The sequence below is a fragment of the Homo sapiens genome, chromosome 12, assembly GCF_000001405.40.
Source record: "Homo sapiens chromosome 12, GRCh38.p14 Primary Assembly".
Taxonomy (NCBI): domain Eukaryota; kingdom Metazoa; phylum Chordata; class Mammalia; order Primates; family Hominidae; genus Homo; species Homo sapiens.
In genome coordinates, this window is record NC_000012.12 from 45,945,239 (window position 1) to 45,969,020 (window position 23,782).

A 23,782-nucleotide genomic window follows, 5' to 3' on the forward strand; every position below is an offset into this window, starting at 1 on the left:
AGTAACTTACTATGTATCCACTTCAAGTCACAAACTTTTGCACTTAATAGATCTTCTCTTACGATGGCTTTTCTTCTGTAAACATCAATAAAGACAGGAAAGAATTAAGAAAAAAACTGTCATTTTGCTCACTTATTTTCAACTCATTCTCCTCCATCAAAATGAAATCTATCATGCACTGATTTTGGTAACTATGCTGAAATCTGGTAAATGGTTTAAGGATATTCTCACAGACTCCTATGAGATATTAGAATGTCAAGTTAGGTTTTAATATCTATTGAGTTGTATTATCTCAGTCTTTTTTTTTTTTTTTTTTTTGAGACAAGATTTTGCTGACACCCAGGCTGGACTGTTGTGGTGCAATCACGGCTTACTGCAGTCTTGACCTCCTGGGCAGAAGCAATCCTCCCAGCTCAGCCTCCTGAGTAGCTTGGACTACAGGCATGCACCACCTTGTCAGGTTAATTTTTTCTATTTTTGCAGAGAGTTTCCCTTTGCTCATGAGGCTGTTCTTGAACTCCTGGGCTCAAGTGATCCTCCCGCCTTGGCCTCCCTAAGTGCTGGAATTACAGGTGTAAGCTACCATGCCTGGCTAATATATTTTTTATTCTTATTCTTATTATTATTTTTTTTACTAGACACGAGGTCTCACTATGTTGCCCAGGCTGGTCTCAAACCCCGGATCTCAAGCGATTCTCCCCCTCAGCCTCCCAAAGTGCTGGGATTACAGGCATGAGCCACCACGTCTGGCTTCATCTCAGTCTTTAAACAACAATCTTACTGGCTGATCATGACTGACTGGCTATTGAGCCACGCAGACTAGAGGTAAGCAGATATTGTCTTTTTTAAAAGGACCATTAGGAAATTCTAGCAAAGAAAGCATGATTAGTTTCACTCCTCACTCAGTTACCATTCTCTACAATGACTTAAAATGGAGGTTCACTACCAAGAAACAAAATACCACTGCAATGCCTTCTTTGGAACTGGTAAAAAGTATCAGAAACAGAGAGGTCCCAGGGTTTTATTGCTTTGGAAGGGAGAGGCAAAATTGAATGAAGTTTGTCTGTGTGTTGGAAGACCAAGTATCCAGTAAATAGAAGACTGAATGACAGGACTACTAAAAACATCCAAGACTCCAAAAAAGAGTATAATGTAAATATCCAACAGCTGACAGAGATTTTCCACCTTGGGAAAAATAGTTAAGCTATGCCTTGGTGGGCAAAGGCAAATTATTAATTTTGCAGCTGTTATTTCCTTATGACAAATCTCAGAAAAAGCAGTTAAATATGGGGACGACTTTTGCTATGTTAGACTCAAATAAGAGCTGTGAGCCTTATAGGTAATTCTGTGATGACCACTACACCCTTGGCAAGAGCCAAGAGAATTGGGTAATTTTGAGGGAGAAAAAAAAAAATGCATATCTATGATACTGTCACAGCCAGTGATATGAGTTGTATCAAGAATTAAAAGTATTTCTACCAAAAGGTTATTTCTTCACTATGCCTGGGAAAAGTGTACTATTATCTACTATGTAAATACAAATGCAAGAACCAAAGCTGATAAGTATTTTTCAGAAATAATTATAAAATTTGGTCTAATGCAGTTACTAACTTTGGGGCTCATGGGTAGGCTCTTGGAGGGGGTATTCCATGAATACCTTGAAATCATATACAAAGTTTTATGTCTGTAAACGTGTATTTTTCTAGCAGAAGGGATCTGAATCATTCTTCACATTCTTAAAGAATGCCATAACTACCCAAAAGTTAACATCTAAGGAGCTTACAGTGTTATAAATTAGTAATAGGTTGAATTAATCTCAGTGACTACTGCCAACTGTTTTAGGAACTAAATAAACTTACTCTTTTAAGAAATTAGTATTCTGATGAAAAGTACTAATGAATCATAGATTTAATTATGAATCTGACAACATATTGACTTAAAAATTCAACTCTTGGACAGCTCTAAATACATTTCAGATCAAAATGAGCTTAAGTTTCAAATGTATTAGAACAAGTTATTTAAGCATTAATTTCCAGTGTACTACTCATATTCAATTTACCTCAAAAATGTGTTAAACACCTACTAAACTCAAGTATTAAACACCGCATTTCTAGGCATTTATGTTAAAATAGGCAATGGTTTTAACAGCAACTAAAAAAAAGAAACCTGTATATTTAAAAAAATGTTTTAACATAAACACTTGTTATAGTAGACAGCAAGTGCCTGCTGCAACACAGGAAAGCAGTACGTGAAGGTTAATAAACAGTTTAAATTATAACTGATGAAGAATGTTGTGCTATACTATTAGGTATTCCGTACTTTTTGTCCATAAGTAACTTGATCAGTGCTATTTACAGTGTGGTATGAGCACCAATGCTTATCTATTAGGTGTTTAATATTGGTATGTGATTAAGTACAAAAATGAGGGTAAGCATTCAGAATTTTGGTTTGTTTTTGAGACAGAGTCTTGCTCTGTTGCTCAGGCTGGAATGCACTGGTGTGATCATAGCTCACTGCAGCCTCAGATTCCTGGGTTCAAGATATCTCCCTGCCTCAACTTCCTAAGTAGCTGGAACTGCAGCCATGTGTCACCATGCCCGGCTAATCTGTAAATTTTTAGTAGAGACAGGGTCTCATTATGTTGCCTAGGCTGGTCTTGAACTCCTGAGCTCAAGTGATCCTCCCACCTCAGTCTCCCAAAGTGCTAGCCTTAAAGGTGTGAGCCACCACACCTGGCCAGCATTCAGAAATTTTACATTGCTGAACATTTTATTTTACAAAAGGTTTGGTCTAAAACAGATTCAGAAATAAACTGAAAAGAACGAATTCTTTTAATTCTTTTTATTTTGTGTTATTTTTTAGTAGAGACAGAGGAGGGGAGGACGGTCCTCACTATGTTCCCCAGGCTGGTACCAAACTCCTGGTCTCATGTGATCCTCTCACCTTAGCCTCCCAAAGCACTGGGATTATAGGAGTGAGCCACCATGCCCAGCCAGAACCAATTCTTCACCAAAAACAGAGTAGAGCTCAAATCAGATTCTCAGATTTCAGCTAGTCCCTCCTTAAATTATCAAGTGTGTGCTTTTGAATAAGTGATTAAATACATTTAAACCCCACTTCATTTTTTTAATACCTTTTTTGTACTAGTTAACTTCTGTTCCACTCATTTGCATTCCACTTCTAAAGTTAATCACTAACCTTATACAGCTTTTAGAATTTTCATGACAGGAGACCTGTTTCTCAAATGAGTTTTCATTTTTCTTGTCTTTTGTTTCTCTCAGCTGTTTTTTTACTTGAACCTATGAGAAAAGCAAAATCAATTTAGAGCAACAATCCAGCCTTACAAATAACTTTTTAAATTCTTCCTTGAAATGATTAAAATTACAGAAACAAAACTGTCCAATTAAAAAGTGTAGTCCAAATACATATGCTTATTCATTCAAGCATGCTAAACCATAAGCTTAGTAAGTATGCTTAGGTCTGGGGAAACAAAATAGTGACAGCTAAGCATAAACAGATTAAGTGCTTATAACAGAGATATGAACACAGATTTGTATATACATATAGGACTCAGAAATTAACTGAGGATGTCACAGAAGACTTTAATGAGTAGATGATGTATGAGTTGGTCTTAAAGGATAGTTAGGAATTGGTCTAAGAAAAAAATATTCTAGGTGGAGGAAAGAACAGAGTTGTAAGGAACAGTGAGAAGCCAATGTAGACAGGTAAAAACAGAGTAGCTAGATGTGAAATTGGTGAAATGTGTTAGGACTCGACTGTAAAGGTTCTTGAATAAGAAAATCTACAGGCATCAGAGAGTAAGCGGACTTTTTAAAGCAAGTGAATGCGATGATCAAATTTGTTTTTAGGAAGATAACTTTGGTGTGATATGGGGAATCAACCAGTTAAGGAGAGACTATAAAAACCAGGCTCTTATAGATAAACTAGATCTTAAAAGAAAGCTCTTAAGATAGACTAGATCTATGCTGTCCAAGACAACAGTCACTAGCCACATATGGCCACTCAGTGCTTGGAATGTGGCTCGTCTAAATTGGAATGTGCCGCAAGTATAAAATAGACACAAGATTTCAAAGACTTAGTATAATTTTTTAAAAGAATGTAAAATCTCTCAATAATAATTTTAAAATATTACATGTTGAGCTAATACATTAGATATATTGGATTAAAAATAAAATATATCATTCAATTTATTTCATTTTTTTATTATTTTAGGATGCTTACTTAAAATTTTAGTTATTTAGTGGCTTATAGTATACTTCTATCAGACAGCACTAGTTAGATGAAAGAATAGGGGTCTACAAAGAGGGAACAATGGAGGGATACAGAAGAAACATATTTAAGACATTGAGCAGAAAAAAACAGATGAGGGAGAGAAAACTGGAAAAGTCCCAGATATTTCTGATCTTGGTGACTAGGGCTGTGATTCCATTAACAACTGGGGCTGGGGAAAGGGGTAGGGAATGTGATTAATTTGGAGTTTGTTAATGTCAGATTTTGTTGGTATTCCAGATAGAGATGCACAAGTGGTTGTAAATACAGGTCTGGCTCTCAGTAAAGAAGTCTAGGACAGTGACAGAATTTTAGAAGCATCCAAATATACGTAGTACTTAAAGCTACTGAAGTATAATAGCTGAGAAGACTTAGAAAGAAAGTATACTGAAAGAATTTAAATGAAGATCCTATGAGTCCTAATGATTAAGAAAAGGAACAGGAGGGTAGGGATATGACAAAGAAGATTGTGAAAGGACAGAGAAGTAAAACAATCATTCATACATACATACATACATACATACTTACATACATACCCACAAGAGAAGGATGTTTTAGAAGCCGAAGGAATTAGAGGGTAGTCAGCAGCACTACACGCAGAAAACAAACCATGGAATGTGGAAGTCTGAGCCTGGACCTTGGTGAGGGTAGTGTTTGTAAAATAAGATAATAGAGGTAAATGTTCTATGGGAACTGAAAAGTGAGTAAGAATTGAGAAGAGGTAGTTGTAGAATTCAAGAAGTTCAATTGCAAAGGGAAAAAGATAATGAAGTGAAGATTCGAAAGAAGTAAAGGTCTAGGGAAGGCACTTAAGAGAATGTGGAAGATATCTCATGTGCCAAGAAATACCTTTTAAGTTAAACAAAAATTAAACTAGCACTGTACCAAACTTTTAAGTAAAATACAAACTCTATCAAATAAATTTTATTCTAAGCAAGAAAACATAATTTCACAGAAAAATATATTTGGAATCTACTTTACACTAATGAATCTTTTGCAATGTAATTATACATACAAACAGCGTTTGGAAAAATGGAGAATATGTCTTCAGGAAAAGCCACACTTACTATATTACACTTCTATAATGTTTTATCTTTTTTCTGAGATATAAACTAATTTGCATTGATGGCAAAGTTATACAATTACAACAAGCAAACCGTTTATTTGAATTGCAGTCCTGTTTGTACCTTGCATCAAGATTCATCTGGTAAAAATATATCAAAACAAATTATGAAAACCTACACTGAGAAAGACAAATAATTAAATAGTTGTACATTGCTTCCATCCCCTTTTCTACTTACATAGACAGTAACCAAGTGGACAAAGACTAACAGTGCTACCTAAAAACGGTTTGTTTCTCCTATTAACGGCATCACTTATGTTTATATTGAGTACTCTCATTTTTAGCTATTTTTCATTCATGACTTGGTAGTGATACATCAAGAAATCTTTCTCATATACTTAACTACTACTCTTCTCCTTTTCTCTTTTCTTCTTACTCAACTCAGACATGTTTTTTTGTTTTTTCAGGTAAGCAAAAAATTAACATAAATACAAATCATAATCATGGCTCACAACAGTAAGTAACATTAATGAGGTAAGCAGAATTTAATTTTATTGGCTAATTTCAAAATTATTGTTTTTCAGGAAAACACAGTTTTCAGTTATTTTGGACTTAAGGTTTTGTGGGAGTTGGTCTTTGAATCTAATACTTCATTTCAAACATTTTTTCAATGGAAAACATGTATTCAAAGTGCTAGCCAATTAAATTCTTTGAAATATGGGAAGAAGTCCTCGCATTCAAGATATTCTAAAATGTTAAGTATTTTATAATTAAGCCTTAGTACAAAACGTCCTTCAGATTATCAGAGATCTAATACATTTTGTGGTATACTACAAGGTGATCATTATGGATATGCCCTCTTTAGGGGGCAAATGAATAAAAGGTTCAGAATTTAAGTATATTAGTTGAAAGGTATAAATTTATCATGCTAAGGAGGATTAAAATAACATATTAAACCTTAAGTTGAACAATTTTCAAATATACACAAACTGGAAATCAAAGTCAAACAGCTTCAATTAATTTTTATATAATTCATGTTGCAGAATAAAAAGACTTACCTTAACATAACCTTCCAATGCACTGAATTTAAACACTGCCTGAAAAGGTTTACGGTCAATAGGACATGAAGCCAGTGTCTGAAAAGTGATTAACAAATTATATCTTTACAAATGTTTCTTTAGATCAAAATTATAAATACAATTATAAATTTTCCATAAAATTATTTTTATCTCTATCTTCGAAAGAAAAAAATATTTTTATACCTTAAATTTGTTTCATTCATTCAAACATTTACTGAATACCTCCTGTATGCTAGATAGTTGGAATACAATGATGAACGAGACAGAATCTGTTATTAAAATCCCATTAAGATATGCTGCCCGGTTGAGAACTACTAGTATAGTGAAAGATGAGTTGGGCTGACAGCAGTAGTTCTGTGATGTAAAGCTGGCTGTTACACTAAACTTGGGCCACTCCAAATGGCTCCGAAAGGTTCCTCACAAATTTTAATATTCTATGACTTAATATTTTCCCCCCAAATTAGTTACATTAAATAGGCAGTTGTGCCAGCAATAAAAACATTTGAAAGATATGAAGAAAATGAAGTACTCCTTCACCCCTCCCCTCAGCCACCTAGATGGCCACTCCAGAGGCAGTTTCTTACATAACCTTTTGTGGATATCCATTGCATATGCATATATGTGTATCTTTTTAATATATAAACTTAAGATTGATTCATATTAGTAATTCAGAGCTGCCTTATCCTTAACAGAATAATATGAATAAGAGTTTTTTACTTTACATTTCCTTTTATAGGAGTAAGGTTGAGCACATTTTCCTATTTTTAAGGACTATCCAAAGTTCCTTTTCTTTAAGCTGCCTATTCAAGTTCTTTGCTTAGGTTCTTATTAAGTTGCTACTCTTTTTCAAATTGAGTTATAGGTGCTCTTTATTTATTAAGGAAATTGGTCCTTAAGTGATACTATGATTATAAGTCAACATTATCTTGCTTTATTTCCTGTCCTTTTAAAATTCCTGTGCATCAACTCTAAGAGTTTCTCTGATAAAACTACTAAATATTTGTGTAAGAATGGGTTTACATTATTTAAAGAATTTAAGATGAAATGTATTTTCTATTAGGGTAGGAGGGAAAACTCTGCAAAGAGCGTACCAAAAGGTGATATTATTAATACCTATGGTTACAAAAATAAAACGGAATTTTAACAATCTAATAGCAATAGTCTCAAAGAGCAAAGATAGTAATGGAAACTAGATATATTATTCCTATGTAAAAAATGTGATCTTTGCCTTTCTGGGTTTTACCACGTATCAAGACATGCTTATACAAGTAAAAGTAGAGCAGATTGTGTATGGTCCTTGATCATTTAACACATTTTCACAAAGCTCACAAGTCACTTTGGGAGCAGCCAAAATATGGGCTGAGTTACTATTTTCTTTCTCTTTTAAGTGGGCTTCAATGGGAAAAAAGCTTTACCACATCTGAATTAGGAAATGTGACCTTACTATATTAAATTGGTTCAGACTGGAAGAAGCCAGTTCAGCCTACTTTTAAGTACTATGGATTTAGGAGGCTATTACTTTCCCTATAGAAAACTTGACCTTAAGAAGGTTTGCTTCAGCAACAAAGAAGTTCATATATTTTTTAATAATGCATTGTCTAGTTCGAAGAACTTAACATCATAACCATTGCTGTTTATCCCAGTGGCATACCCTGTATGAAATTTCTTAAGAGATTATATTAATGCTACATTTATGGTTTTCAAAAATATTTAAAAGTTGAAATCTGGCTGAGCATGGTGGTGCATGCCTGTAATGCCAACACTTTGAGAGGCCAAGGCAGGAGGATCCCTTGAGCCTAGGAGTTCGAGGCTGTAGTAAGCCATGATCACACCACTGTACTGCAGCCTAGGCAACAGAGTGAGATCCCATCTCTGAAACATAGATAAATAAAATTAAAAGTGTAATATTTCTAGTGCTTCCTATTTTTACAAAAGCTTCAAAATGTTTTTTATTCCTATTTTAAAGGTAAATTTAGAGAAACATTAAAAAAAGGTTATGTGGTAATAAATGAAAATTTGTTTTTTCGTAAAAACTAAGATGTATAGAGGCCATGAATTTACTGTGCTACTTTCGTATCTTTTTAATAAACTCGAGCAAGTTACAGTCTCTCTGTGCCTCAGTAACCTTATTTGTGAAAATGAGAAAAAATAACTTACCTCTAAGGTTTTTATGGGAATAAATAATTCCTAGAAGAAAGTGTGGCATATACTAAATATTATGTAAGGTCTTGTAATCAACTAGTTTTAGTAACAAAAAAACTTGGTTAATTAACAAAAGACAACCACAATATGATACATATACAAGTGAGAGACATGAGTTCTTAACAATTTTTATTGGAATTTGCAAAGTTTATGACGTAGATGGAAATCCAAGTACTTCATTATTTTAGCTATTTTGATTTGTGACACTAAGATCCAAAGAAAGTCACGTGTTCAAGAAATTTGTATCAGATGCATCAAATCTTTCAAAGACTCTCAAATCATACAATCTCATTTTTTCTTTATTAAATTTCCTCTACTGACATCAGCTAAATTGCATTTTTTCCTTTACAATTTTTTCTTTATTTTTTTTATTTTTTGAGACAGGGTCTTGCTCTGTCCCCCAGGCTGGAGTGCAGTGGCACTATCATGGGTCACTAAGGCCTTTGCCTCCCAGACTGAGATCAGATGATCCTCCCATGTCAGCCTCCTGAGTAGCTGGGACTACAGGTGCATGCCACCATACCCAGCTAATTTTTGTATTTTTCATAGAGATGGGGTTTTACCATGTTGCCCAGGGTGGTCTTGGACTCCTGGGCTTAAGCGATCAACCTGCCTTGGAGGGGTTAATGGCGTGAGCTGCTGTACCCAGCCTTCCTTTACAATTTTGAATTATGACAGTTTTAATCTAAGCTGTTACTTTTTTTTTTTTTTTTTTAACACAGGGTTTCACTCTGTCGCCCACGCTGGAGTGCAGTCACCTGATCACAGCTTACTGCAGGCTTGAACTCCTGGGGCTCAAGCAATTCTTCCACTTTACCCTCCCAAGTAGCTGGGATACATGCATGTATCACCGTGCCTAGCTTTTTTTTTTTTTTTTTTTTTTAACTTTTTTCATAGAGACAGGGTCTCACTATGTTGCTCAGGCTTCATCTTGAACTCCTGTGCTCAAACGATCCTCCTACCTCAGCCTCCCAAAGTGTTGGGATTACAGGAGGAGCCATCACACCTGCTCTGAGCCATTCCATTTGATCCGTTTCAAAAAACAGTTCTGAGTAAGATTCCCCCCCTTTTTTTTCCTTAAGCATAATTGTCTTAGGTTTGCCTAGTTTCATTTTAAGAAAAGGCTCCACTGGTATTACAAAAACACAAAGGAAAAACAAGAAAAAAAAGTAGTAGTAATAGGAAAACTACTGCCATATATCATCACAATCTATATAAAATGTAATTACCTAAAGATAATTTAGTTAACACCAAAAAATAAGTTAATTTTCTTTGACACAGACTCAGCCATCATAATTTTTTTTTTAAACAGGGTCTCACCCTCTTGCCCAGGCTGTAGTGCAGCGGCATCACGGCTCACTGCAACCTCAACCTCCTAGGTTCAAGCGATGGCCTCACCTCAGTTTCCCAAGTAGTTGGGACTACAGGCACGCACCACCATGCCCAGCTAATTTTTTGTAGAGATCGGGTTTTGCCATGTTGCCCAGGCTGGTCTCGAACTCCTGAGCTCAAAGCGATTGGCCCACCCCGGCCTCCCAAAGTGTTGGGATTACAAGCGTGAGCCACCACACCCGGCCCAGACTGGCCTAATTTTAAGGAACTCCCAAGGATGCCTCACTCTTATATCCAGCAGATATCTATCCAGAAAGGTCTCAAAGATGTTTTTAGTTTTCAGAGTAAAATTTACAATTAAATTTCCAAGTTGTGAGGTTTTAAAAGTTCACATTTTAAACTAATGTAAAGAAATTTTAACTAATACTTACTCTATTTTTAAGTTATTTTAATTTTGAAGAAAATTATCTCAAATTTTGTTGCCTTAAATACAATAAAAATATCCTTCAATTATTTACCATTTTGATTCCTTATATACAACAAAATATCCTTCAATGACTCACTTGTTTGAATTACTGACTTTCATTTCAATAATTTTTAAAGTATCTAATTCAGTTTCATAACCAAGTAGTCTAATAACATCATTGGCTTTATGATACAGCTACAAAATTAATGGAATTTGCTCACTGCTTTACAGTGTAATGTGTATTAAACAGAGCATATGTTTTACTGTGAATGCTCTGTACTAAGGTTGTTGTATCAGTTAAGAAGGCAATTTTGATAGAAAAAAATAATCTTCCTAATGATTTCAGTAAAACACACCCTACTATTCTGAAGCATTATAAATTCTCAGCTCAGACAAACCCACATTTAAATGTAAGAACAAGAAACCTTCCTTATTTGGGAATTCAGGATCCTCGATTTCTAATTTCTCGCTTCCTCCTGCTGCTCTATCCTCAATCACATAGGCTGCTTATAGATAGCTCCTCTTAGAGAGAGAGAAACAAGTGTTAAGACAAGTGCTTAAAGACTAAATCTCAATACCTATGTTTATAGGTAGGTTTGCCTGTTTGTGGGAATCTCGAACATCTATCTCTCTACTAACAAAATAGAGCATGTTATACAAAATTCTAGTTCAAAATCAAATAAAGATGACTTAGAAATGCATACCATTAGTGGCTAATGCTTATTTTAAAGCTATTTTCCAGGACCTATCTTTTTTCATTTATGGTTCTAAGACACCTCACCTGTACTTCCAAATTAATTGTTCACCTGCAGTCAGCCTACATGTTCCCTATCACATTTAACCAGTTCTTTCAAGACAGTCTTTGTCAATCCATATTAGTGAAACTGTGGTTCTTTATACCAGCATTCAGGAGTGTATCCCTAAAGGACAAATGGCTGTCAGTGATAAAATTAACCCCCAGTAAGAACACATTTCATCAAACTACTTAAAATCCTTTCATGTTCTCCAAGATACCAGTTGGGGAGAATTACATGTAATCTTAATTTATTCTGACAATAGGCAACACTTTATCTAGTGTAAAAACAAGAAACTCAGTAAACTACCCATACAGATCATTTTACATATTCTGACATTTAAAACTAGGCACAAAGAAATGCATGTTAATTTACCTTACTGGTAAACAGAGTACTTAAATTCTTTTAGATATATGCTTTAGGTGATGGGTGTTCACAATGCAAAAATCCTCTTTGCTCTACTAAAAAATTTCCCAAAGGATTAATTCACAGGGTGAAAATAGTGGTGGATCTGAAAAAATTAGCTACAAGTTAAAGTTCTTGTGGAGCTAGCAATCACTCCAACCCACACTAAGGATGAAGATGGAGAGAGCCCTGATCATCTATTGCATAGGCGTAATAAATTTAAAAAATGTATCTGACAATACTTTATAAATTATAAATGACTAATGTTAGTGGTACTACACAGGTACATTTACATTACCGTTCACAGAGAGCTACATAACAGAGGTGTCTGGGTTAGTTCTGGTTAATTTTTTTAAAATTAGAATTTGAGGAAAAATTGATTGAAAATTCCAGATAATAAAGCTTTACTGAATTATATTACTTAAAAGTAGTCTAACAACCAGAATGGACAAATTTCCACCTACTGCATAAAGAAACACCTGTATATAAAACACATGTGCAGTCCAGATATAAGTCAAGAACTCACATCTTGATTTTTTGGTATTTATTATTAATTCAAAAATATAACCTTCACCTATGTTGAACACTATTGTTTGACTTCTTCAAGAACTGCATGTCACCTTAATAAGACACTTCATTTCTAGTTTAGGAGAGAAACCATGCCTTTGCCAACTGCCGAATTTTGATTTCATTAACCTTTACTCTCTCATACTGAAGCTGTTGGCATTTTATACAAAATGGGTGATTTTGTATAAAATGGAGGGAGAATAATCTGCTTATAATGGGAAACTAATCACATTTTTAAAAATAATACTTAAAAGATAAGGGAAATATTTTATATTATGTAAAAGGGAAAAGAATGCCAGCAGATATCAAGAACATCCTCATCACATATACTGCAGGTTCCATTAAACATTGTTAAGAACTCTTAAATGCTTTAAACATGTGTCTTCAAACCATGACCTTATTTTAAGGGCCAAATTTTTAATCACTTCTCGGCAACTGTGGGAAATAATGATTCCTACTTTCTCTCTTTTTTTTGAGATAGGGTCTTATTTTGTCACCCAGGCTGAAGTGCAGTGGCATAATCACAGATAAATGTAGTCTCGACCTCCCAGGCTCAAGTGATCCTCCAACCTCCCCCCATCAGCTTCCCAAGTAGCTGGGACTACAGGCATACTCCACCATGCCTGGCTAATTTTTTTTTTTTTTCCCAGTAGAGATGAGGTCTCACCATGTTGCCCAGGCTGGTCTTAAACTCCTGGGCTCGAGTGATCCACCCTCCTTGGCCTCCCAAAGTGCTGGGATTAGAGGCGTGAGCCATCATGCCTGGCCAATAAATCCCATTTACTTAACCTGTGTGTGTTTGTATGTGTTGGAGATTATCTTGTCTGTAGGAAATCATAATTGTCACTACTACAATGTGTGTCAAGACTTCTCTGTCCTTTACCTTCCTAAAGTATGCAAACTCAGATATATTAAAAGCTATCAATAAGTATATATTGTTTTTGCCCACAATATGGGTAAAATAAATAACTTCCTAACTGAATAGATGATAAGCTTTAGCATACTGGCTCTATATACATTTCATCAGTTCAAATGTCTTTGATTAATTTTAGATTGTTGGATCTAACAGTTATGGTTTAAATTAACAAAAATTTCAGCCTTCCTTAATGTCAATTATTGTGTCATTGTTCAATATTCTATTTCTATATAATCATCATTATTTTATAAATCAACAGGTTTACCATCTATGAATTCCTTGAAACTAAATATAATCATAGTGGACATGATTAATTTCAATTTGTTCTAGTGTCCCTAAGGGCAGGCAATTAGGCTATGGGCCATGAAGGCTACCACAGGTTCACCCTGAAACATTTTGCCCTAAGTAAAGAGGATTCTGACATACCCAAAGACTTTTTACTTAATCACTTTAAAGTCCTTACATAGCTTTTGTTTAAATAACCACAGAACCAAAATTTTAGAGCTTGAAAAGACTGAAACTAACTTTGATCTATGTGGCCAAAATAAATATACTAGACTACGACACACTTTAATTTTTCAAAACACCAGTTTCTTACAGACCAGTGTTTTTAAGAATGTGTTCAATGCCTAAAATATTAAGGTGAAAGTAAATAAATGAGTCCTTTTTTGGTGCTTGATATTCCTTCTGAATCATATTTCAGTGAACCTTGGGTACAAATCTCAGAAAGCACAGAAATTTTGAAAGATACAGAAATCTAGAAAGATGATCCTAACTGCAAATTGTACTGTTCTCTTATGCAGATTTCTCAGGAGCTGTGGCACAAGAATCGCTTGGCCTGGGAGGCAGAAGTTGCAGTGAGCCGAGATGGTTCCACTGCACTAGAGCCTGGGTGACAGACTGAGACTCTGTCTCAAATAAAAAAAAAAAAAGAAGTGAACATGCATAAAATTGTACACCACAAACCAATTTTTTAAAAAGATTTTAACGTCAGGCTATCCCTTGACGTACTTAAAAATCGTAAGTTTAGAATCCTTGTCTTGTATAGCAAATAAATATTAACATAGTGAATTAAATGAAATTAAATGTTAGAATGTGTATGACAGCCTAGGCATAAGGCATGGCCTGTTAGAAGGCTGAAGACACTTATTCCTGATCCTGAAATCCGAAGTAAACTGTAAACTTTGCTTTTAGATGGAAGAAGACTGAGGGAAATGAGAGGATGGAGCTTAATTTATAATGATGAAAAAAAGAAACATACTCCTGAATTTGAAATCTGATTCTATTTGTGAAAGCACTTACATGCTTTGAAACATATCTATTTTTATCACAGCAATAAAAGATTCAAACTGAAAACTTAGTCTACATGATTTTTTTAGCCAGCATTCACTTATAATTTATAATAAGCAATTTATTAATAGATTGCTCTCTTGTTACTGCTCAACTGAAAGGTTTATTTAAATGATGATTGCTATCCCCATCAGGGACAACGAAATAATTCAGAATGTTCTGTTTATTCTCCCCTTTAAAGGTTAATTACCTTTGTTTAAACACTATCACAACTCCTCCCTGCCTACCCAGCATCACAGTTTATAATAGCAGCATAAAGATAAGTACTTTCTTTTGAAAAGCAATTTGAAAAATATTACATGCGGGAAAGGTGTTGGCTGCCATACCATGTATGTTATCCAGTATTTTCAACTTAAAAATATTCAACAAGAGTTAAAAATATAGACAAGTTTGCCACTGTCTAGTAGAGTTAAGTATGTGCATCATCTACAACCCGTAATTCCACCTCTAGATACATACCCTAGAGAAACCTGGAACATGTACATCAGGGTAAAGGTTGTGTGAAAGATGCACTTGAAGTTGAAAGAAAGGATGGAGAACCATTATCTACTTATTACATACACATTATAATTTTCTTAGAGCAAAACATATACTCCGATTAAGTTGTTGAAATTCACAATTATGTGGTCACCAAATACAATCTTATAAAAAAGCACTGTATTGAAACCTTCCACCCATCCAACAATATTATTTCTTTACCCAAAGCAAAATCTCTAAAAAAATTTAACCACAAAGCAACCATGTGCACTAAATTCAACACAGATAAAAATCTTTATTTGGGTGGCAGAAAAAAAATATGCATTATTTCATTAAACAGTGATCCTACACAGAGAGAGATTTACCAACCATATTAATTCAGCAAAACTCAAAATACTTTTCCCCAAAATACATTTTCACCTATCCTGTCACTTCTTGTTAAAGACCAGTTTAGGTTTTACTAAATTAAAATAGTTTATATGTATACTATTATTAATTCAATTTGTATAACAAATCTTCTCTTCCTTCTTTTGAGAACTCAGCCAGAGTCACTATACAGTTACATTCTCCTTTCCACACTATTAATGAAAATTTAAGCAAAACATAGCGCTTTGAAAACCCCAATTATGTAATATGCAATTAATTCCAACATATTTAAGAACATTAACAATTGGAATGCAGCTAATGTTAAAATATTTTTAAGATATTATCTTCTTTACTAATTTTTACAGACTGACAAATATTAACTTAGAAAATATAGCATAATATGAACAATAATTTTTTACTTAACATTTCATAACAATAAGGCTTATATTAAATTAATATTTACTTCAAAGTATTTGGCCCAAATTGAGTCAACATAATACATTAAAAGTCACGAATGTCTTGTTTCTTATTCACTGTCTATGACGGTAATATCTCTAATTCAGACTCTGAAATTAGTCCACACTAAATTAAAAACAGGAATTAGAAAATCAGTTCTAAATTCACTTCTGCCTCTTAAACTATGAGATCTTGACCAAGTCATAGAACATAAAATCCAAGTTTCCTCATCTGTAAAATGGAAGGACACTATCGTATCTGCTCTGGTTATTCCACAAGGCTGATATAAAGAAGAAATCAAATAACCTATGTGAAAAGTCCCTGAAAAATATAAAACAAAAAGCAGACAGAAGGTGTTATTAGTGGTAAACAGATATTATCCTATTAAGCACAGAGTCAAGTACACTGAAAAATTAATTACTGCATTTCTACCAGAAAAAAAGTTTGATCTGTTCTTCCTATAAGGTTATTAACTTTTTTTAAAAAAGTATGCATTTAAAATATTATTTGCAAAATCAAAGCCTGATAAAAGAAAATTAGAAGAAAATGACTGACAGAATTTGAATAATACAAGGAAATTTGTCCAAAGTAGGAAGAAAATACATTACTGTGAAATAATTTATGAAAGGCAGTATCAACTCTTTAGGTGAAATGAAATCATGCTAGGAAATTAAAATACATTAATGTGTCAGACTTACCTCTGCCCATTTAAGAATACAAGTCATACAGAAGACATGATTACAGCTTTCTGGAAAACCAACTTCCTTTTCTAATAGACAATTAAGACATATTGGGCATCTGTCAGCCTCACTGTACAACAGACCAGTGGAAATAGTATTATCTCCGTTTTCTTCACCTGTTAAAGTAAAACAGCCATATGTGCTTTCAAGTTCTCCAGACCAAAAATCTTGTGTTTCTAGGAGTATAGTGGATTAGATACTCTAAAGGACCCTCCTACTATAAAGCAAATAGATCTTAGATAAATTATAGCAAACATACTGCTTGAGCCCAACGTGCCCAACATTTACTTTCTTAAATTTTTTTAACGGGGGACTGAAACAAACTTTTCATTAATTAAATTTAAAGTGAGTAATATTCACACGGATCAAAAATTTAAGAGCAAATTTCTCATTCAAATTTATCCCCATCCAGTTCCAACCAATCCAATAAGTAACAACTGTTAAATTTCTTTTGTGTTCTTCCTAGGAATTTTTAATGTACAGAAAAACAAATGCTAATACAAACTCTTCCACATTCCTTTCTTTACACAAATGCAAGAATACTATACACACTAGTCTGCTTTTTTCTTTATTCAAATCTATTGATGGACATTCACATGTTTTCAACTTTTGGCTATGACAATGTTGCAATAAAAATTTAGTTATTTCACATTTTTAAAAGTATATCTGTAGTGTAAGTTCCTAAAAATGGAACTGCTAGAGTAATGTGTGTATACATTTGTATTATGAATAGGTATTAACAAATTATTCTCCTTAGGATTTGTACTACTTTAAACTCCCACCAGTAATGTAACCAACTCATACAAAAGTATGCATCGCTGGCTCATAAGAAAATAATAGATACTCTGAAATTCAACATAAAAATAAAACAGAAATAAAGGATTGGTCAGCTGAAATGTGAACAGTAATATCAAGCAAAGTTGGAACTGTCCTGGGCACAACTGTCCAAACCAGTGTTTAGATCTGGAGACTAAGCCTTAGAACCGCTTCAGGAAGGAAAACTAATCCTGATAGACTCCAGTATCAAGCCAAGACTTTTAAATGGGGCTAAAGAGGTCCCAGCATGGGCCTGGGAAGAAACAAATACAAATCCTCTGGAGGAAAGAATACCTAAATTAGGCCCTCATAGATTTAATTTATCAAATGTAAGCTCATAATCAAACATTACCAAACCTAAGAAAATAAGCTGTCTTGAGTGAGAAGCAGCAGGAAACACATTTAGAAATCCACTAACTTCAAATATCAGAAGTTTCAAATACCACATAAAATGGACAATCAGCAGATTAGATCCAAGAAAAATACTTGTGAATTGGAAGACAAATCTGAGGAAACCAGCTAGACTCTAGGAGACAGAAAAGGAAATATAAGACATAGCCTGTGAAACAGGTTAAGAAATGAGGTTACAGAACGGTCTAACATACTAATTGAAATCCAAAAGAGAATAAAGGAAAGGCAACAAAGAGGTAATGGTCGGGAAATGATTAAACACATGAACCAACAAAGGAAACACAATGCATACTGTTAAGAGAAATAAAAATAATCCATGCCTAGAAACAATGGAGTAAAACTGTAAAATATCAAAGACGAAACCAAGACCTTAAAAGCAGAAAATTGGAAAAGACAGATCACCTACAAAAGAGAATGATAATTAGACTGGGAAGAAATCTCCAGACAGCAAGGGAAAAAAAATGAGTAATATCTTCAAAGTGCTAAGAGAAAAAAAAACTATCATTTCAGAATTATATACCCAGTAAAACTATCTTTGAATAGTTTTAAAGTGGATAAAATAGATTAAAAAAATTCAGAGTTTACCACCAATAGACCTTCACTAAAGAAACTTCTCAGATTTATTTTCAGAAAGAAAATAAATGAAGAGGAAATAAACTCAAGCAAACATTGCATAAAACATCATCTAACTGGTGGTGTCTGAAATAAAAGAACTCAAATAATGGAACTATAACCTATACATTGAGATTAGGATGATCAGAGTTAAAGCATTCTTGGGTTCTTCTTCTGTTGGTAGTGAAAATTAAATTAGCTTTAGAAGCAGAGGACAGTACCAACGCTAACTTTTTTTCTTTTTTAAAAAGACAGGGACAAAAACATAAACAGTAATTCCTAAACCAGTAGAGAGTAAACCTTTAAGAAAAAAGGGAAAAGTAAACAATTTAACAAATCAAAAAACTTGATCAGTCGAAAATAAGATATGGGAAGAAAAAAATGTGTATACTTAGGCAGCTTATTTTGGAATTTAAGAACAACAATAACAAAAAACTCCTGTGTATTCTGAAATGTATACAAGTGGACAGTTTGGAAACAACTGTTTTGCTTTCAACAAACAAACTTTATAAAAATGAAAAGTTACCTTCCATGTCTTCATACTTCTTATCTCCCATATTTAGGGTACATACAGTTTTCTTCTTCATTTCTCTTTGGAAAAGGGTTTCCTATAAGATAAATTATAATAGAGAATTTTATGTTTGCCTTCTCCCAATAATATCAATTAAAAAAAAATCCTAAACTGTAAGAAATTATTTTACACATAAAAGAACACAGTACGAGCCAAGCCAGTTTGTGGATAATCCAGTACTCTTTTATACTCCTTGCTATCAAAATGCACAGTCTTATTGAACGGAAAAGCCTTGGCCGTGCACGGTGGCTCACGCCTGTAATCCCAGCACTTTGGGAGGCCGAGGCGGGCGGATCACAAGTTCAGGAGATCGAGACCATCCTGGCTAACACGGTGAAACCCTGTCTCTACTAAAAACACAAAAAATTAGCCGGGCGTGGTGGCAGGTGCCTGTAGTCCCAGCTGCTCGGGAGGTTGAGGCAGGAGAATGGCGTGAACCTGGGAGGCAAAGCTTGCAGTGAGCCCAGATCGCGCCACTGCACTCCAGCCTGGGGGACACAGTGAGACTCTGTCTCAAAAAAAAAAAACGGAAAGGAAAAGCCTTTTATAACTATTAAGCAACAAAGCCTAAATGATATATTTTGTGGCACAGACATAAATGCAATTGAAGCTTAAGGAACAGAGATCAATTTGGAATAGAGTTTTCAGAGAATGTGATAGGTTAGATGTGTTGAGGAACTTCAGGCATTCAAGGAGCAACACAGTATGGAGAAATACAATAACATTTAGCTAGGCCAATCTCACAATTGAGCGGGTGAGAGAAAACAGTGGGTGAAAGTGTGTGTGTGTGTGTGTCTACTAAGGAGACAGTTGTGTGTGTGTATGTGTGTGTCTCTACTGAGGAGGGGGTTGGCATGTAAGCCATGAATTTTATCTGAAAAATCACAGTGAGAGGTAATAAGAAATAAGCAGAGCAATGTAAATCAAGTATGGCTAGATTATAGATGGATCGCTAATGATTGACTGAGAACCTTAGATTCAATCTTACAAATTCTATGAAGAAGAGTGACAAGATAAAAGTGATATAAGTGAATTTTTTTAAAAAAGATAGATACGCCAGCCAAGTATGGATTGAATTACAATGGAAGGAGATTATAAGCAGAGATATTTGCATAGCTAAAGTAACTGGCTGTGAAGTATATTTGAAAAGCACGGAATTAAAAGGCTGCAGAAATTCTGAGATTTGGTGAGCAACTACAGTGAAGGAGACAATATCCTGGCCTAAAAGACTAGGAAAATGGTGCTTATAAAAAGGTAAAAATGAGAAAAGTGGGAAAGGATGTTAATATGGCAAAGGCAAGAAATTCATACAGTAACATTTTATTTTAATCAACTTTTTTTCCTAAGAGATGGGGTCTTGCTGTGTTTCCCAGGCTGGTCTCCAACTCCTGGGCTCAAGCGATCCTCCTGCCTCCACCTCCCAAAATGCTGGAATTACAGGCATAAGCCACTGCACCTGGCCTTAAATCAACTCTTAATATTCCTTCCTGAACTGATGCAAGACATAATTGCAATGAAATGTCCAAATATGCATTTATATCTACGCACAAGAAATCCTTGATTTTATCAGTTGTGATTCTCCTATATGTATCTGAATGGGTTTTTCTATTAATTTCTAAAATAATTTACACATGGTAGTTTCTACATTAAAGGTATGAACTCCCCAGGAAAATTCCCTATTTGGTTAAATAAGGAGAAATACAAAGTCCCAGACTTATAGTTCAAAAACTAACCATAAAAGCAGAAGAAACTTAGTAGCATATGTAAGAATGATTTAAAGGTTGTAGCAGATCAAATACAACCTCAAAATGAATCAGCATTAGAATCTAAAAACTTTTTTTAATCCAATCAATCTGACAATAAAAGTTGGATGAGGAATATTTCCCACTCTTAGCCTATGTGTGCAACATTAGTTTTAGTTCTGGTGCAAACTAACTTGTTTTAGTTCTGGTATTTAAGGACAAACAACATAATGATGAATGTCCAGGGAAGATGACTAAAATGGTGACAGCCCTGGAAACCCTATCATATGCAGAAAGGTAAACTAGTAAGAATGTTTAGCTTGGAAGAACAGAAAGCTTAAGAACATTAGCAATTATCTTCAAATAAAATGAACTGTTCTGAAGGGAGGTAGAATAATCTATCAATGAAAGTATTCAAGCAAAGGCCCAGTGATCTTTTGTGGGATTTTTTTTTTTTTAGCTCCAAGATTTATAGAATACTATAGGTATACTAGGCAATTCTCTTAGTACTGAACAAGGCAGAAATCTCTACCTTTATGTTCTAGTGGGGAAGACAAAATAAACAAAATAGTAAGTAAAATATCTAGTATGTTAGACGTTGAGAAGTGCTATGGAGAAAAATTAAAAACAGTGTGGCTATTAAGGAATAAAAAAAGAGGAAGCTGTTGTTTCATACAGAATACTGAGGGAAAGCTTCTGTGATAAAGGGACATTTGAACTGGCAATCAGAAAGCAGCAAGGGAGACAGTTATGTGAATATCATCCAGTGCTTCCAGGCTAAGCATTCTTGGCAGAGAGAATAGCCAATATGAAAGTCCTAAGGCATGTCTGGTATGTTCAAGGAACAACAACAAAGAGATGAATGACTGGAATACAGTGAAAGAAGAAAAGTAGATGAGGACAGAGTTATATTGCACTGCTGTATATTATTATTTTTTATTTGGGGAAATTCATACCATACTATCTCCTTCATTATCCTAAATATCTGAGAATAAAAAAATATTAAGGTTGGAGTTAACTCAATGTGATAAAATGTCATTTGAAAGTTAACACAGTATTTTAAAAACCTAAGAGATGTTCAGATGTAATATATTATCCCTTTATGTAACGCAATGATTTATTTGTCCTATTTAATAGTCTAACCTATGCTATTTTCACATTTCCTCCTTTAAGCAAACTAACCTGATATATAATTTATAATTTATATTTTAAAGTGGGGTGCATTGGTATATGCCTATAATCCTAGCTACTTAGGAGGCCGAGGTGGGAGGATCGCTTGAGCCCAAGAAGTTCAAGACCAGCCTGGGCAACACAGCAAGACCCTGTTAAAAAAAAAACAACCTACAATTAATATTTTATAGTAAGCACTGTCTTCTCTATTTTAAGACCCATATAGTGAAATATACATGAGAAACTGAGAAACCTCAATCAAGTTACACACTGCCTTTGTTAGAAATCTGCCTTAATGGCCAGGTGCCGGTGGCTCACGCAAGTAATCCCAGCACTTTGGGAGGCTGAGGCGGGAGGAGCGTCTGAGATCAGGAGTTCGAGACCAGCCTGGCCAACATGGCGAAACCTTGTCTCTACTAAAAATACAAAAATTAGCTGGGTGTGGTAGCAGGCACCTATAATGCCAGCTACAAGGGAGGGTGAGGCAGGAGAATTGCTTGAACCCAGGAGGCGGAGGTTGCAGTGAATCGAGATTGCGCCACTGCACTCCAGCCTGGGCAACAGAGTGAGGCTCCATCTCAAAAAGAAAGAAATCTGCTTTAAAAACTGTTTAAGCATTCCAAAGTTTTAGAAGTTGCATGCTTTATTCCTTAACATGTCCTCTATTAACTGTTTTTATACCTGAAAATGATTATGCCATGTTACTAATTTAGTCATTTAAAATGACAGGAACTTAGCATTTTGCTAGATGAAAGTCCTAAGTCTCAGTTCAACAACTTATAAACTTGTAACTTGTCCTGTTTATCTGTTCTATCTGCCTGGACTCCAGTTTTCAATCCAAGGATCCACAAGTATTTTTGAATAAAAGCTTTGCTTTGAATATCCAGTGACAGGAACACAGTAATACCACACAGAGTCATAGTCCTAGCCAGTAATTTGTGGTCAATAGCCCTAAGAGGTAAGATGTGGGTAGGTAGGACTACCCTTCCTTGTAGTTACCTGAAAAGTTAGATATATCTCAATTTTGTGTTATTAACTATTTATGGCTTTATAATCATGTTATATTCTACCTATACTACTTATTAGTTCTACTAAGTTCTGTAAGTTAATTATCTATAAGTCAAATTGTATTTTCTTTTATTGGTTCTACATTTACTAAATGGATGTTAATTCTAGATTTTCAGTAAACTTTGCTTTTCTGATTATTTTAATTTACAAATGTCAATCTTTAATGTTTCCTCCTAGGCTTTATCTTTCCAAGCTAAAATATCTTTTTAGTCTGTGACCCCTAATATAATGATCTAACATACTTCTATCGTCCAGTTGCTCTTTTCCATTTCATAACATATTGTTTCTGCTAGATACTGAAAGTGATACTCCAAATATGTTCATATAATAATTGGGGAAGAATGGTCTAAGTTTTAAATTTTATTTATCATATAAGAAGGTATTAAAGCTTGGAATTTAAAATTTAAAAAAAAAAGCACTGATAAAAATCAGTTTTTAGGAACTCAAAACTCATTTTCCCATAGTAGAATACATGGAAATGAGTGTCCTAGGCCAGCCACTACACTGCATTCAAATAATGGTAGTGACGCAGGGCACAGTGGCTCACACCTGTAATCCCAGCACTTTGGGAGGCTGAGGCAGGCGGACCACTTGAAGTCAGGAGGTTGAGACTAGCCTGACCAACACGGTGAAACCCCGTCGCTACTAAAAATACAAAAAATTAGCCGGGCGTGGTGTAATCCCAGCTACAGGCTGAGGCAGGAGAATTGCTTGAACCCAGGAGGTGGAGGTTGCAGAGAGCCGAGATCATGCCATGGCACTCCAGCCTGGGCGACAGAGCGAGACTCCATCTTAAAGAACACCCAAAAACGCAAAAAACAAAAACGGTCTGTATTAAGTCATTTCGGTTCTCTAGAATAGTGCTGCCCAACAGGGAATTCTTCTATCA

At 34.7% G+C, this 23,782-nt stretch overlaps 1 protein-coding gene across 11 annotated transcripts in view; it reads right to left on the reverse strand.

Annotated features, from left to right (window-relative positions):
- SCAF11 (SR-related CTD associated factor 11) overlaps positions 1-23,782 on the reverse strand; it is a 72,929-nt gene that overhangs the window by 26,108 nt on the left and 23,039 nt on the right. For 9 of the 11 annotated variants that reach the window (XM_047429883.1, XM_047429880.1, XM_047429878.1 and 6 more), the window contains 5 exons: positions 18,869-18,950; positions 16,462-16,619; positions 6,412-6,489; positions 3,199-3,299; positions 11-75 (listed from right to left, as the gene is read on the reverse strand). In XM_047429883.1, the coding sequence (XP_047285839.1) occupies positions 11-75; positions 3,199-3,299; positions 6,412-6,489; positions 16,462-16,619; positions 18,869-18,950 (484 nt within the window). Of the gene's footprint in view, positions 1-10; positions 76-3,198; positions 3,300-6,411; positions 6,490-8,589; positions 10,955-14,923; positions 14,977-16,461; positions 16,620-18,868; positions 18,951-23,782 lie in introns of those variants that run through there. The other 2 variants (XM_024449275.2, XM_047429884.1) reach the window with 2 other exon arrangements.